The 14,034-nt window shown below is 48.3% G+C and overlaps 1 protein-coding gene across 3 annotated transcripts in view, besides 3 other annotated features; it reads right to left on the bottom strand.

Moving 5' to 3' along the window:
* CLIP2 (CAP-Gly domain containing linker protein 2) overlaps positions 1-14,034 on the bottom strand; it is a 116,529-nt gene that overhangs the window by 13,887 nt on the left and 88,608 nt on the right. For 2 of the 3 annotated variants that reach the window (NM_003388.5, NM_032421.3), the window contains 3 exons: positions 11,186-11,243; positions 5,445-5,528; positions 2,790-2,946 (listed from right to left, as the gene is read on the bottom strand). In NM_003388.5, the coding sequence (NP_003379.4) occupies positions 2,790-2,946; positions 5,445-5,528; positions 11,186-11,243 (299 nt within the window). Of the gene's footprint in view, positions 1-2,789; positions 2,947-5,444; positions 5,529-11,185; positions 11,244-14,034 lie in introns of those variants that run through there. The other variant, XM_047420800.1, reaches the window with a different exon arrangement.
* Positions 6,896-7,190: a silencer, noted in NCBI's record as "tiled region #11240; HepG2 Repressive DNase matched - State 9:DNaseU, and K562 Repressive non-DNase unmatched - State 22:ReprW". NCBI's record gives its function as "represses a minimal TATA promoter and a strong SV40 promoter by Sharpr-MPRA in HepG2 and K562 cells {active_cell/tissue: HepG2 | K562}" and the evidence as "EXISTENCE:reporter gene assay evidence [ECO:0000049][PMID:27701403]".
* Positions 10,748-11,248: an enhancer, noted in NCBI's record as "H3K4me1 hESC enhancer chr7:73795131-73795631 (GRCh37/hg19 assembly coordinates)". NCBI's record gives its function as "activates a minimal SCP1, AML or CMV promoter by ChIP-STARR-seq in primed H9 embryonic stem cells {active_cell/tissue: H9 hESC(primed)}" and the evidence as "EXISTENCE:reporter gene assay evidence [ECO:0000049][PMID:30033119]".
* Positions 11,249-11,749: an enhancer, noted in NCBI's record as "H3K4me1 hESC enhancer chr7:73794630-73795130 (GRCh37/hg19 assembly coordinates)". NCBI's record gives its function as "activates a minimal SCP1, AML or CMV promoter by ChIP-STARR-seq in primed H9 embryonic stem cells {active_cell/tissue: H9 hESC(primed)}" and the evidence as "EXISTENCE:reporter gene assay evidence [ECO:0000049][PMID:30033119]".

The following is a 14,034-nucleotide window of genomic DNA, read 5'->3' as shown; positions in this document are numbered from 1 at the left end:
TTTTTGTAGAGATGGGGTCTTGCTGTGTTGCCCAGGCTGGTCTTGAACTCCTGAGCTCAAGTGATCCTCCAGTCTCCGCCTCCCAAAGTGCTGGGATTTCAGGTGTGAGCCACCATGCCATGCCAGATCTTCCCATTTTTTAAGGGAATGTGGAGAAATCTGGCTTTTCTGTAACATTTGATTTTTATTTTCTTTAATTAATTAACCTTTTTTTTTCTTCTTCTTCTTTGAGACAGAGTCTCACTCTATTGCCCAGGCTGGAGTGCAGTGGCACAATCTCGACTCACTGCAACCTCTGCCTCCCGGGTTCAAGTGACTCTCCTGCCTCAGCCTCCTGAGTAGCTGGGACTACAGGTGTGTGCCACCATGCCTGGCTAATTTTTGTATTTTTAGTAGAGACGGGGTTTCGCCATGTTGACCAGGCTGGTCTCAAGCTCCTGAGCTCAAGTGATCTGCCTGCCTTGGCCTCCCAGAGTGCTGGTATTACAGGGGTGAAGCACTGCGCCTGGCCCCATCTTCTGATTTTTAATTGTTAGTCTAATTTCTTAAAGGCTCAGAGGGACCACACAAACCATGTCTATCGACTGAATCTAGCTCATTGGATGCTAAAGTGTGTTCTGAGGAAATCCCAGTGGGTCCCTTAAAACCTTTTCAAGGGATCTATGGCTCAAAACTATTTTTGTAATAATAACAAAACTATTTTCATTACTTCTCTTCAGAATACAATAGGTTTTTTCTGGGGCTAGTAGAAATACTAACCATGATTTGAAAAGGACATTCAAATACTCCTTTGTTTTCTAACTACATATCTATGTAAGATCAGATTTTTAGAACATAGTTCAACCAAAAGAGCAAATTGCAAAGATGGAACATGGAAAAAGATGCCAGAATCTAGTTTCTCCTATTAAGCCCCAATATTCAAGGATTTTGCAAAAATTTGAAATAATGCCACTCTTCCCAGTAAATATTTTTTGTTTTGGAAAATAGTTACTTTTTTTTTTGATGGAGTTTCGCTCTTGTTGCCCAGGCTGGTGTGTAGTGGCGCAATCTCGGCTCACTGCAACCTCCGCCTTCCGGGTTCAAGAGATTCTCCTGCCTCAGCCTCCCGAGTAGCTGGGATTACAGGTGCCTGCCAACACGCCTGGCTAATGTTTTGTATTTTTAGTAGAGACAGGGTTTCGCCATGTTGGACAGGCTGGTCTTGAACTCACGACCTCAGGTGATCTGCCCACCTCGACCTCCCAAAGTGCTGGGATTACAGGCAGAAGCCACCCCGCCCAGTCCCCCACCCACCCCCCCCACCCCGCCAGAAAATAGTTACTTTTTATCAAAAGCATGCTACTTATGTTACATGCAATTGGCTTATTAATTTTATTTTTTGAGACAGGGTCTTACTGCCACCGCCCAGGCTGCAGTGCAGTAGCAAGACCTTGGCTCACTGCAGCCTCGACTTGCCACCTAAGGTGATCCTCCCACCTCAGCCTCCTGAGTAGCTGGGATTACAGATGTATGCTACTATGCCCAGCTAAATTTTGTGTTTTTGGTAGAGAGGGGTTTTGCCATGTTGCCCAGGCTGGTCTCAAAGTCCTTGGCTCAAGTGATCCTCCTGCCTCAGCCTTCTAAAGTGCTGGGATTACAAGTGTGAGCCACCACGCCTGGCCTGGCTTCTTATTTTAAGATGGATTCGTATCTTACACTTTTTCAGTCTTAATTCTAATATGGTAAATATAGAATAAACAAACAAAAGCTCTTTGGGGATCCTCAATAATTTTTAGGAGTTTAAAGGGGTCCCTGAGACCAAACATTTTGGGGAGGCATTAATCCTTTCTTTCTTTCTTTCTTTCTTTCTTTCTTTCTTTCTTTCTTTCTTTCTTTCTTTCTTTCTTCTTTCTTTCTTTTTCTTTCTTTCTTTCTCTCTCTCTCTCTTTTCTTTCTTTCTTTCTTTCTTTTTTTTTTTTAAAGAGACAGGGTTTTGCTCTATTGCCCCGGCTGGAGTGCAGTGGTATGCCATAGCTGACTGCAGCCTCGAACTCCTGGGCTCAAGAGATCATCCTGCCTCAGCCTCCCAAGTAGCTAGGACTACTGGTGCATACCACCAGGCTTGGCTAATTAAAAGAAAAAAAAAAAACTTTATTATTATTATTTTTTTGAGATGGAGTCTTGCTCTGGTCACCCAGGTTGGAGTGCAGTGGCATGATCTCAGCTCACTGCAGCCTCCTCCTCTCGGGTTCAAGGAATTCTCATGCCCCAGCCTCCTGAGTAGCTGGGACTACAGGCACACACCACTACACCCAGCTAATTTCTGTATTTTTAGTAGAAACAGGGTTTCACCATTTTGGCCAGGATAGTCTTGAACCCCTGACCTCAGGTGATCCGGCTGCCTCGGCCTCCCAAGGTGCTGGGATTACAGGTGTGAGCCACTGCACCCAGCCTAATTTTTTTTTTTTTTTTTTTTTTTTTAGAGATAGGGGTCTCACTATGTTGCCCAGGCTGGTCTTGAACTCCTGGGCTCAATCCTCCTGCCTCAGCCTCCCAAAGTGCTGGGATTACAGGCATGAGCCACTGTGCCTGGCCCTACTCTTTTCTATAAGCTCTGCTTGGAAAACAGTGTAGAGGCTTTGGAGACTTTATCGGAGCTTAGAGGAGAGCAGGGTGATCGCTCGAGATCGGCCACCTGGCCCACCAGCTCTATCCCCCTCTCTGCCCCAAGATAACATGAGCTAATGTCAAGAAGAGGAGCAAGGGCCAGGGCCACAGGGAGGACCCAGCCGGCCCCACGGCCGCCTCACCGCTCCTTCCGCAGCAGCTCCTGGCTGATGAGGACTAGCTGGCCCGAGGCGTCATGGGTCTTCCGGGACACGGTCTCCAGCTCTGCCTCCAGGCGCCGCTTCTCCTTCAGGAGGGCGTCCACCTTCTTCTCGCCTGACTTACACTTGCTCTCCAGCGCTGGGGTCAGCCGGCAGGGAAGGGAGGAAGAGGATTGGGAACACGTGAGCTTCTGTCCCACCCAAGGGCAAAGACCTGGGCAGGGCGCTGATTCTCCCAGGGGATGAAGGTGACATACCCCACTGCATAGTTTTGACGGTTTTTTTAGAGATTGGGTCTGGCTCTGTCACCCAGACTGGAGTACAGTGGCACAATTATAGCTCATTGCAGCCTCCAACTCCTGAGCTCAAGCAATCCTCCTGCCTCAGCCTCCTGAGTAGCTGGGACTACAGGAGTGCACCATCATACCTGGCGGTTTTTTTTTTTTGGAGACAAAGTCTCACTCTGTCACCCAGGCTAGAGTGCAGTGGTACGATCTTGGCTCACTACAACCTCCGCTTCCTGGGTTCAAGCAATTCTTCTGCCTCAACCTCCCAAGTAGCTGGGACTACAGGCATGTGCCACCACACCTGGCTAATTTCTGTATATTTAGTAGAGATGGGGTTCACCATGTTGGCCAGACTGATCTCGAACTCCTGACCTCAAACAATCCACCCAACTTGGCTTCAAAAGTGCTGGGATACAGATGTGAGCCGCGGTGCCCGGCCAAATTTTTTTTTTTTTTTGAGACGGAGTCTTGCTATTGTCGGCCCAGGAGTGCAATGGCATGTTCTCAGCTCACTGCAACCTCCGCCTCCCAGGTTGCAGCAATTCTCCTGCCTCAACCTCCCAAGTAGCTGAGATTACAGGTGCCCACCACCATGCCTGGCTAATTGTTTTTGTGTGTGTGTGTGTGATAGAGTCTCACTCCGCTGCCAGGCTGGAGTGCCATGGCACAATCTCGACTTATTGCAACCTCTACCTCCCGGGTTCAAGTGACTCTCCTGCCTCAACCTCCTGAGTAGCTGGGACTACAGGTGCACGCTACCACGCTCAGCTAATTTTTTTGTATTTTTAGTAGAGACGGGATTTCATCATGTTGGCCAGGCTGGTCTGAAACTCCTGACCTCAGGTGATCTACCCGCTTCGGCCTCCCAAACTGCTGGGATTACAGGCATGAGCCACCATGCCCAGCCCCGGCCAAATTTTTGTATGTTTCATAGAAATGAGGCCTCACAATGTTTCATAGGCTGGTCTCGAACCCCTGGCCTCAAGCAAACCTCCCTCCTCGGCCTCCCAAAGTGCTGAGATTATAGGCATGAGCATCGCTCACGGCCTCCACTGCATAATTTTAAAAGCACCATTGGTCTCAGTTGTCCCTACAAGCCAGGTGGCAAGGGGCCTGAGAGAACAGGTACAATAAACAGATCAATCCTCGCCAAGCACAGCAGCTGCTTGGGCTCCTGGTGTGGGGAGCGATATCACACGTGTGTTTACACTGTCGCCTGGATTAGGAAAAGCTTCACCTTCACCTTGGCCTTGGAGGAGTCTGAGGTCCACTGACCTTTTTTGGGGCCAATTCTGCCTTGTACTGGGGGATGGACAGAAGACAGGTTGGCAACCATTTCCGAGGAGGGGGGCTGTCTCATGCCCACCACCACTGGTGTTCTGGTGAACAAGAAGCAGGGCCAGGGGCCGGGCGTGGTGGCTCACACCTGTAATCACAGCACTTTGGGAGGCCAAGGCAGGTGGATCACCTGAGCTCAGGAGTTGGAGACCAGCCTGGCCAACATGGCGAAACCCCATCTCTACTAAAAAAATACAAAAATTAGCCGGGTGTGGTGGTGTGCGCCTGTAATCCCAGCTACTCAGGAAGCTGAGGCAGGAGAATCGCTTGAACCCGGGAAGTGGAGGTTTCAGTGAGCTGAGATTGCACCACTGCACTCCAGCCTAGGTGACAGAGTGCAACCCTGTCTCAAAAACAAAAGCAAAAAGAGAGAGAGAGAGAGAAACCAGAAAGTCTTCAGGACCAGAAAGAGGGAACCTGGGATAGAATGGATAGAATTTCAGGACACAGAGAACACAGAGCTGGCTCTGGGGACAGAAGCTGGCGGGGAGGCATTATAGGATGGACCACATGTGGGCCACTCACTGCTCCCCAGGTACATGTCTGTCTGGTGCAGGTGACCTGGCCCTGGCCCTTTTTTTTTTTTTTTTTTTTGAGATGGAGTCTCGCTCTGTCACCCAGGCTGGAGTGCAGTGGCGCCATCTCGGCTCACTGGCAGCTCTGCCTTCCAGGTTCAAGCGATTCTCCTGCCTCAGCCTCCCGAGTAGCTGGGATTACAGGTGCATGCCACCATGCCCGGCTAATTTTTGTATTTTTAGTAGAGACGAGGTTTCACCATGTTGGCCAGGCTGGTCTCGAACTCCTGACCTCAGGTGATCCGCCTGCCTCGGACTCCCAAAGTGCTGGGATTACAGGCGCGAGCCACCGCGACCAGCCAGCCCTTTTCTTCTCAAAGCAGAGTCGGGGAGGGGACCCTAAGCCAGGCCCTGACCCACTCCATGCTTAATTGGCAGCTGAATGGCACGGCCCCAGTGAAAGCCCCCCGCATCTGCCCTGCGGGAGGGAGACTTACCACTTACTTGGGCCCTGAGCATCTCGGTCTGGGAGGTCAAGGCTGTCACCTCTTTGTCCCTCTTGTTCAGCTTGTCCTGCAGGCCTAGGGGAGAGAGGAGAGACGAGAAGCATCAATGCTCCTGGACCAAAGCAGCAGTGGGTAGGGCCATGGCCCTCCCACAGGAGCTCTGTGACGGGGTCACACTTGGCCTCCAGGGTCCAAGTTCTTCCTCACTCCAGCCGTCTCGCTGGGTAACCCCTCCTGAAGAAGAGGACCTGACACTGGCCGGGCGTGGTGGCTCATGCCTGTAATCCCAGCACTTTGGGAGGCCGAGGCCGGCGGATCACCTGAGGTCAGGGGGTTCAAGACAAACATGGTGAAACCGAGTCTCTACTAAAAATACAAAAATTAGCTGGGCATAGTGGCAGGTGCCTGTAATCCCAGCTACTCGGGAGGCTGAGGCAGGAGAATCGTTTGAACCCGGGAGGCAGAGGCAGCAGTAAGCCAAGATAGCGCCATTGCACTCCAGCCTGGGCGACACAGCGAGACTCGGTCTCAAAAAGAAAAAAAAAAAAAAAAGAGGCTGGGCGAGGTGGCTCATGCCTATAATCCCAGCATTTTGGGAGGCCAAGGCAGGTGGATCACCTGAGGTCGGGAGTTCGAGACCAGCCTGACCAACATGGAGAAACCCCATCTCTACTAAAAATACAAAATTAGCTGGGCGTGGTGGTGCATGCCTGTAATTCCAGCTACTTGGGAGGTTGAGGCAGGAGAATCGCTTGAACTTGGGAGGCAGAGGTTGCGGTGAGCAGAGATCGCACCATCGCACTCCAGCCTGGGCAACAAGAGCGAAACTCTGTCTCAAAAAAAAAAAAAAAAAAAAAAGAAGACCCGACACTATGTGGTCTTAGGTAACCTGTCACAGCCTTAGTCCCCTCAAGTGAAAAACAGGGAGAACAATAACAGTGCTAACAGTGCTAACAGTGCCTAGGTCACCGGTCTTGTGTATTCAAGCCTGGGTGCTCCTCACAGCCATAAAGGACAGAATGGATGCCAAGTACCCAGAAACATCTCCACCTTCTGCAAGTTAATTTATAAAGGGAATGTAATACCACTAAAAATACCAACACGATTTTAACCTTTTTTTTTTTTTTTTTTGAGACAGGTTATCATTGTGTTGCTCAGGCTGGAGTGGAGTGTGCAATCATAGCTCACTGCAGCCTCGACCCCCTGGGTTCAAGTCATCCTCCTTCCTCAGCCTCCCGAGTAGCTGAGACCACAGGCATGTGCCACCACATCTGGCTAATTTTTTATTTTTTATATTTTTGGAGACAGAGTCTCGCTCTGTCACCCAGGCTGGAGTGCAGTGGCGCCATCTCAGCTCACTGCAACCTCCACCTCCCAGGTTCAAGAAATTCTCTTGCCTCAGCCTCCTGAGTAGCTGCGATTACAGGCATGCATCACCACACCCGGCTAACTTTTTTTTTTTTTTTTTTTTTTGTATTTTTAATAGAGACAGGGTTTCACCATGTCCGCCAGGCTGGACATGAACTTTTGACCTCAAGTGATCCACCCACCTCGGCCTCCCAAAGTGTTGGGATTATAGGCATGAGCCACCGCGCCTAGCCTAATTGTTTATTTTTTGAAGAGACAAGGTCTCACTATGTTTCCCAGGCTGGTGTTGAACTCCTAGGCTCAAGTGATCCTCCTGCCTCAGCCTCTTAAAGTCCTGGGATTACAGTGTGAGCCACTGCGCCCAGCCTGATTTAAAATTTTGGTGGAACTAGATGTGCCGATTCTAAGTCACTTATAAAAATGAGCAAGAATACCCAAGAGTTTGGCAGTTCCTCAAAAATTTAAACAGAATTACCATATGAGGCCAGGCGCGGTGGCTCACGCCTGTTATCCCAGCACTTCAGGAGGCCGAGGCAGGTGCATCGATTGAGGCCAGGAGTTCAAGACCAGTCTGGCCAACATTGCGAAACCCTGTCTCTACTAAAAATACAAAAATTAGCCAGGCGTGATGGCGCACACCTTTAATCCCAACTACTCAGGAGACTGAGGCAGGAGAATCGCTTGAACCTGGGAGGCGGAGGTTGCAGTGAGCCAAGATTGCACCACTGCACTCCAGCCTGGGTGACAGAGTGAGACTCCATCTCAAAAAAAAAAAAAAAAAAAAAATCATATGACCTAGCATTCTACTCTTCTAGGTATATACCCCAAAGCACTGAAAACAGGTACTTAACAAGTACATGCATATCTATGTTCTTAGCAGCATCATTCACAATAGCCAAAAGGTAGAAACAACCCAAATGCCCATCAGCTGAGGAATGGATCAACAAAATGCGGTATGTCCATACAATGGAATATCATTTGGCCACAAAAAAGAATGAGGTTCTTTTTTGTTTTGTTTTGTTGTCGTTGTTGTTGTTTGAGATGGAGTCTCACTCTGTCACCCAGGCAGGAGTGCAGTGGCGCGATCTTGGCTCACTGCAACCTCTGCCTCCCAGGTTCAAGTGATTCTCTCTGCCTCATCTTCCTGCGTAGCTGGGATTCCAGGCGCACACCACCACGCCCAGCTAATTTTTGTATTTTTAGTAGAGACTGGGTTTCACCATTTTGACCAGGCTGGTCTCGAACTCCTGACATGAAATGTTCCAAATAGATAAATCCACAGAGATAGAAAGTAAATTAGTGGTTGTGATGGGCTGGGGGGAGAGGAGGATGGAGAAGCACTGCTAGTGGGTATGGGTTCTCCTTTTGGGATGATGAGAATGTTTGTTTTCTCTTTATTTCTTTTTCTTTTCTTTTGTAGAGATGGGTTTTCGCCATGTTGTCCAGGCTGGTCTTGAACTCCTGACTTCAAGCAATTCTCCTGCCCGGGCCTCCCAAAGTGCTGGAATTACAGGTGTAAGCCACCAAATCCAGCCCATGAGAATGTTTTGGAAACCAGATAGAAGTGCTGGGTGTACTACATTGTTGACTGCGCTAAATGCCATTGAAGTGTTTGCTTTAAAATGGCTGATTGTATGTTATGTTAATTTTTTTCATTTGTTAATTTTATAACAAACCTGCACATGTCTATTTTATGTTAATTTCAGCTTAGTTTTTAAACAATAGCCAAGAGAATTTTGATAAAGCAGAGAAGAACAAGCCATGCCAGAAATTACAACATAGACAAAGCTTGACTAATTAAAACATTATAGAATTGGCACATGAAGAGAATAACAAGTCATTGGAATAGAACAAAAGTCCAGAAATAGAGTCAATTACATAAGTGAATTTAAGGACAATAAGGTTAGTAATTCCAATCAATGAGGGTTGGGGGGAGAAAATGACCATTTTCAAAAATAGTGTTGGGATAAGTGGGTATTCCTTTGGGAAAAAATAAAAATGGATCCTTATCTCACACTTATATAAGGATGAATTCTAGATGGATCAGAGATTTCAGCATAGAAAATAGGACAGAAAAGTACCAGAAGAAACCACTGGATACATTTTTTAAACTAAAAAAGAATTGATTTTTTTTTTTTTTTTTTTTTGGTGACAGGGTCTCACTCTATTGCTCAGGCTGGAGTGCAGTGGCATGATCGTAGCTCACTGCAGCCTCCACTTCCTGGGCTCAAGAGATCCTCCCGCCTCACCTTCCCAAGTATCTGGGACTATAGCTGCATGCCACCATACCTGGCTAATTTTTGGAGGGGGGTATTTTTTGTAGAGACAGGGTCTCACTATGTTGCCCAGGCTGGTCTTGAACTCCTGGGCTCAAGCAATACTCCTAACTCAGCCTCCCAAAGTGCTGGGATTACAAGTGTGAGCCACCATACCTGGCCTGATTTTTTAAATATCTGCATGGCCAACACCACCATAAGAAAAAAGTAAAAAGGCAAATGACAAAGTGGGGAAAATGTCTGCAATGTCATACATAAAGAGCTTCTAAAAATCAGCAAAAAGATCAATAACCCAATCAGAAAAAAATGGTCAAAAGACACAAATAGAAATGCAAATAGAAGCCGGGCATGGTGGCTCATGCCTGTAATCCCAGCACTTTGGGAGACCAAGGCGGGAGGATCATGAGGTCAGGAGTTTGAGACCAGCCTGGCCAACATAGTGAAACTCCATCTCTACTAAAAAAAAAAAAAAAAAAAAAATTAGCAGGGCATGGTGGCATGCACGTGTAGTCCCAGCTACTCAGGAGGCTGAGGCAGGAGAATTGCTTGAACCTGGGAGGTGGAGGTTGTGGTGAGCTGAGATCGTGCCACTGCACTCCAGCCTGGGCAACAGAGTGAGACTCTGTCTTAAAAAAAAAAAAAAAAAAGACCAGCCCCAACATGGAGAAACCCCGTCTCTACTAAAAAAAAAAATACAAAAATTAGCCAGGCGTGGTGGTGCATGCCTGTAATCCCAGCTACTCAGGAGGCTGAGGCAGGAGAATTGCTTGAACCTGGGAGGCGGAGGTTGCAGTGAACTGAGATCGCATCATTGCACTCCAGCCTGGGCAACAAGGGTGAAACTCCGTCTCAAAAAAAAAATGCAAATAGAAATACCTCTTAACTTCATCCACATAAGAGAAAGGTGAGTTGAAGTTACACCTTTTACCTTTCAGATTGGCAAAGATCACAAAGTCTGATCAAACGTTTTGTTGATGGGAGTTTGAGGGGAAACAGGTTTTCAACCACAGCTGGTGGGAATTAAAATTGGTTGAGCCCAATGGAAGTCAAGGTAATTTTCTACAGTGGTGTTTGTAATTGACCAAGACTGGAAACAGTCTACCATCTTTGTAACTGACCAAGACTGGAAACAATCTGTGATTGTTATCGGAAACCAGCTAAATACACAATGGTACCTCCACACAATGGAATATTCTGTACCCTGTAAAAGAATGTACTACTGATAAGGAACCCTCTCCAAGATACATTGTTAAATGGAATAAATGAAGGAGCTGAAAGAATGGAAGATATGGTACCATTTGTGTCACTTGCTTGCTCGTACCTGCACAAAATATTTCTGGAAAGGGGATATAAAGAAGCTAACACTGCGCCTTCAGGGAGGGAAGAATAGAGAACAGTGAAGAGTTAGTTTGCCATATGCCCTTTGAACCATTTGAAGTTTAGACCTGTTTTTAAAGTTTAAACCAGCTAGGCACGGTGGCTCATGCCTGTAATCCCAACACTTCGGGAGGCCAAGGCGGGCGGATCACGCAGTCAGGAGATCGAGACCACCCTGGTCAACATGGTGAAACCCCGTCTCTACTAAAAATACAAAAATTAGCTGGGCATGGTGGTGCATGCCTGTAATCCCAGCTACTCGGGAGGCTGAGGCAGGAGAATCGCTTGAACCAGGGAGTTGGAGGTTGCAGTGAGCTGAGATCACACCACTGTACTCCAGCCTGGCGACAGAGCGAAACTCCGTCTAAAATAAATAAATAAATAAAAGTAAAGTATAAACTAAATAAATAAATAAAAATAAAATATAAACCAAACAAATAATAAGGTTTGATATTCCATTAAGTTTACTATTCCGTTAAATCTGTTTCAAAAGAAAAAGAAAAAAAAGACAGCAACTTGGAAGGCTGGTGCAATGCCTATCCCTCCGTAAACTGGCCTCCTCCCTTGCAGGAGTACATAGCTCACAGCACACAGGAGGTGACTCTTACCAAATGGCAGATGATGCAAACCAAAATGTGACCCAGCAGGAAGGCAGAGCCAGCCAGCCTCTTCCCAGAGCCCAGAGTCCCGCCCGGCCTGGTGGCCACTCACCCTCCACAGTTTCCTTCGTCCTGATCGTCTCCTCTGAAATGTCATTCGACTCAATCATCTGCAAAAAGAGCCCCTGTAAGGGGGATGCTCACCTCTGCCCCTTGGCCCCAGCCCCAGCCAGCCCAGCAAGCACACCTGCAGTTTGCACACCCTACTCCTACAAAGGGGGACCTCAGTGACGGACTCAGGGACTTGCTGCGGTGGCAGGGAGTGCAGACGTCCTCAGTCGGACCTCCCTGACAACAGAGGACCCCCATTCTGCACCCAGCTCTGCTGAAGGCCGCCTGTGCAGCTTATACATGAATACCTCCTACCCTTCCTTTGTTGAAAATGTTTATTATATTAAACAGATGGCTCCTTCCCTGCAATGCCTACAGAAATTTGTCCTGGGAATTTGTTTCTCTGTCTCCCAGAGACAAGACTTCTGGCCTCAGTTTCCCATCCATCAAACAAATATTGGCTGCTTTGGGTTAGTGTGTGCACAGCGTGCTTGGGGCCACCTCCTGGAGGGACTTCATTAAATGCTAGCTTCTTTCTCTCCAACATTTCTTTTTAATAATAAACCCAGAGGCCAAAGAAGAAAAGACCTATTAAAAAAAAAAATCAGCCTGGCACACATCACTATGACAAAAGTCAAAACACAACCAATAGGCTCCCTGCCACTCTTGGCAGGAGTTTCCAGTCTCCTGCCCAGGCTGGCTGTCCTCCGAGCCAGCCAGAGTCTGGCACTGCAGATCAGGGAAGCACAGAGCTGAGTAGGCAGTCACCTCTATCATCCTGCCCCTCATACTTCTGTTCATACATCCCAAGTCCCATTTGAGTCTCAATTAGTTGTAATGAACTAAGCCCCTTGGATCATAATTTATATACGATGCAGTAATGAGGCTCACACTAAATTTTTCTTTTTCTTTTTTTTTGAGAAGGAGTCTCGCCCTGATATCCAGGCTAGAGTGCAATGGCTCAATCTCAGCTCACTGCAACCTCCACCTCCCGGGTTCAAGCGATTCTCCTGCCTCGGCCTCCCGAGCGAGTAGCTGGGATTACAGGTGCCCACCACCACGCCCAGCTAATTTTGGGGTTTTTTTATTATTATTTTTTGAGATGGAGTCTCACTCCGTCGCCCAGGCTGGAGTGCAGTGGCGTGATCTCGGCTCACTGCAACCTCTGCCTCCAGGACTCTGAAGCGATTCTCCTGCCTCAGCCTCCCGAGTAGCTGGGACTACAGGCGCCCGCCACCATGCCCGGCTAATTTTTTGTATTTTTAGTAGAGACGGGTTTTCACCATGTTGGCCAGGCTGGTCTCAAACTCCTGACCTCAGGTGATCCACCTGCCTTGGCATCCCAAAGTGCTGGGATTACAGGTGTGAGCCACAGCACCTGGCCACTAAAATAATTTTTAAAATTCCCATATTTACTACCTGAGACCAAAAGTCCAGTTGTGCTTAGGCCTAAACCTCTGAACATGGGGACATATGCGTTTAGACTAAGCCCCAGTGTATACAGAAAATCAAGAGATGGGCTTTTTTTTTTTTTTCCAGACGGAGTCTCCCTCTGTTGCCCAGGCCGGAGTGCAGTGGCACGATCTTGGCTCACTGCAACCTCCACGTCCCGGGTTCAAGTAATCCTTGTGCCTCAGCCTCCTGAGTAGCTGGGATTACAGGTGTGAGCCACCGCGCCCGGCCAGGAGATGGGCTTTCTGGGGCCACTACTACTTCTTGGTCCAAGGGCACCTGTGAATGAGGGGCAGGGACTGGGGGAGGCATCCTCAGGCCTCTGTCCCCCATGCTCTGTGGAACCACAGCAACCTCAAACCTCCCCGCTCAGGGAATTCAGTTCCTGAGTTGCAGGCTGTTTCTGCCTGCCCTGAACAGCTAATCAGGCCATGTGCACGTAAGCTAATTTGGGTTTCTTCCTTTTCTTTCAGCCCAGGATCCTGGAAGAGCACTTGCTAAAAAACAAAATCCCTTCCTGGGAGAAGGGGCAGGAAGGCCATTACAAGGGACCTCAAGGCATGATGCAAAAAGATTTCCTTTTAGACAAAAAAAGCCCCCTGGATTCATTAGTCCTGAGAACTTACTGCCCACATGCTAAATTCTCGGGTTTTTTTGGTTTGTGTATTTTCTTGAGTCACAGCCTCACACTGTCACTCAGGCTGGAGTGCAGTGGTGCAATCATAGCTCACTGCAGCCTCAAACACCTGGGCTCAAGTGATCCTCTTGCCTCAGCCTCCAGCGTAGCTGGGGACTACAGGTACACTACCACTGTACTCGGCTAATTTTTTATTTTTGTAGAGATGGGGTCTAACTATGTTGTCCAGGCTGGTCTCAAACTCCTGGCCTGAAGCAATCCTCCTGCCTCAGCCTCTCGAAATGCTGGAATTATAGGTGTGAGCCACCACACCCACCCCTAAATTCTGGTTTGAATATACATGAGGGTGGTCAGGTGCAGTACCTACTCCCTGTAATCCCAGCACTTTGGGAGGCAAAGGCGGGCAGACAGCTTGAGCCCAGGAGTTTGAGACCAGCCTGGGCAACATGAGGAAACCCCATCTCTACAAAAACTATAAAAATTAGCCAGGTGTGGTGGGGCACACCTGTGGTCCTGGCGACTTGGAAGGCTGAAGTGGGAGGCTCGCTCAAGCCTGGGAGGTTGAGACTGTAGTGAGCCATGATCATGCCACTGCACTCCAGCCTGGGAGACAGAACAAGACCCTGTCTCAAAAACAAAACCAAAAAAAAGGCCAGGGATGGTGCCTCACGCCTGTAATCCCAGCACTTTGGGAGGCCGAGGCGGGCAGATCACCTGAAGTCAGGAGTTTGAGACCAGCCTGGACTACCTGGCGAAACCCC

The sequence above is a fragment of the Homo sapiens genome, chromosome 7 (assembly GCF_000001405.40).
Source record: "Homo sapiens chromosome 7, GRCh38.p14 Primary Assembly".
NCBI classification, from domain to species: Eukaryota; Metazoa; Chordata; class Mammalia; order Primates; family Hominidae; genus Homo; species Homo sapiens.
Note: the sequence above shows the minus strand (reverse complement) of the source record. Positions and strands in the feature narration are given on the sequence as shown.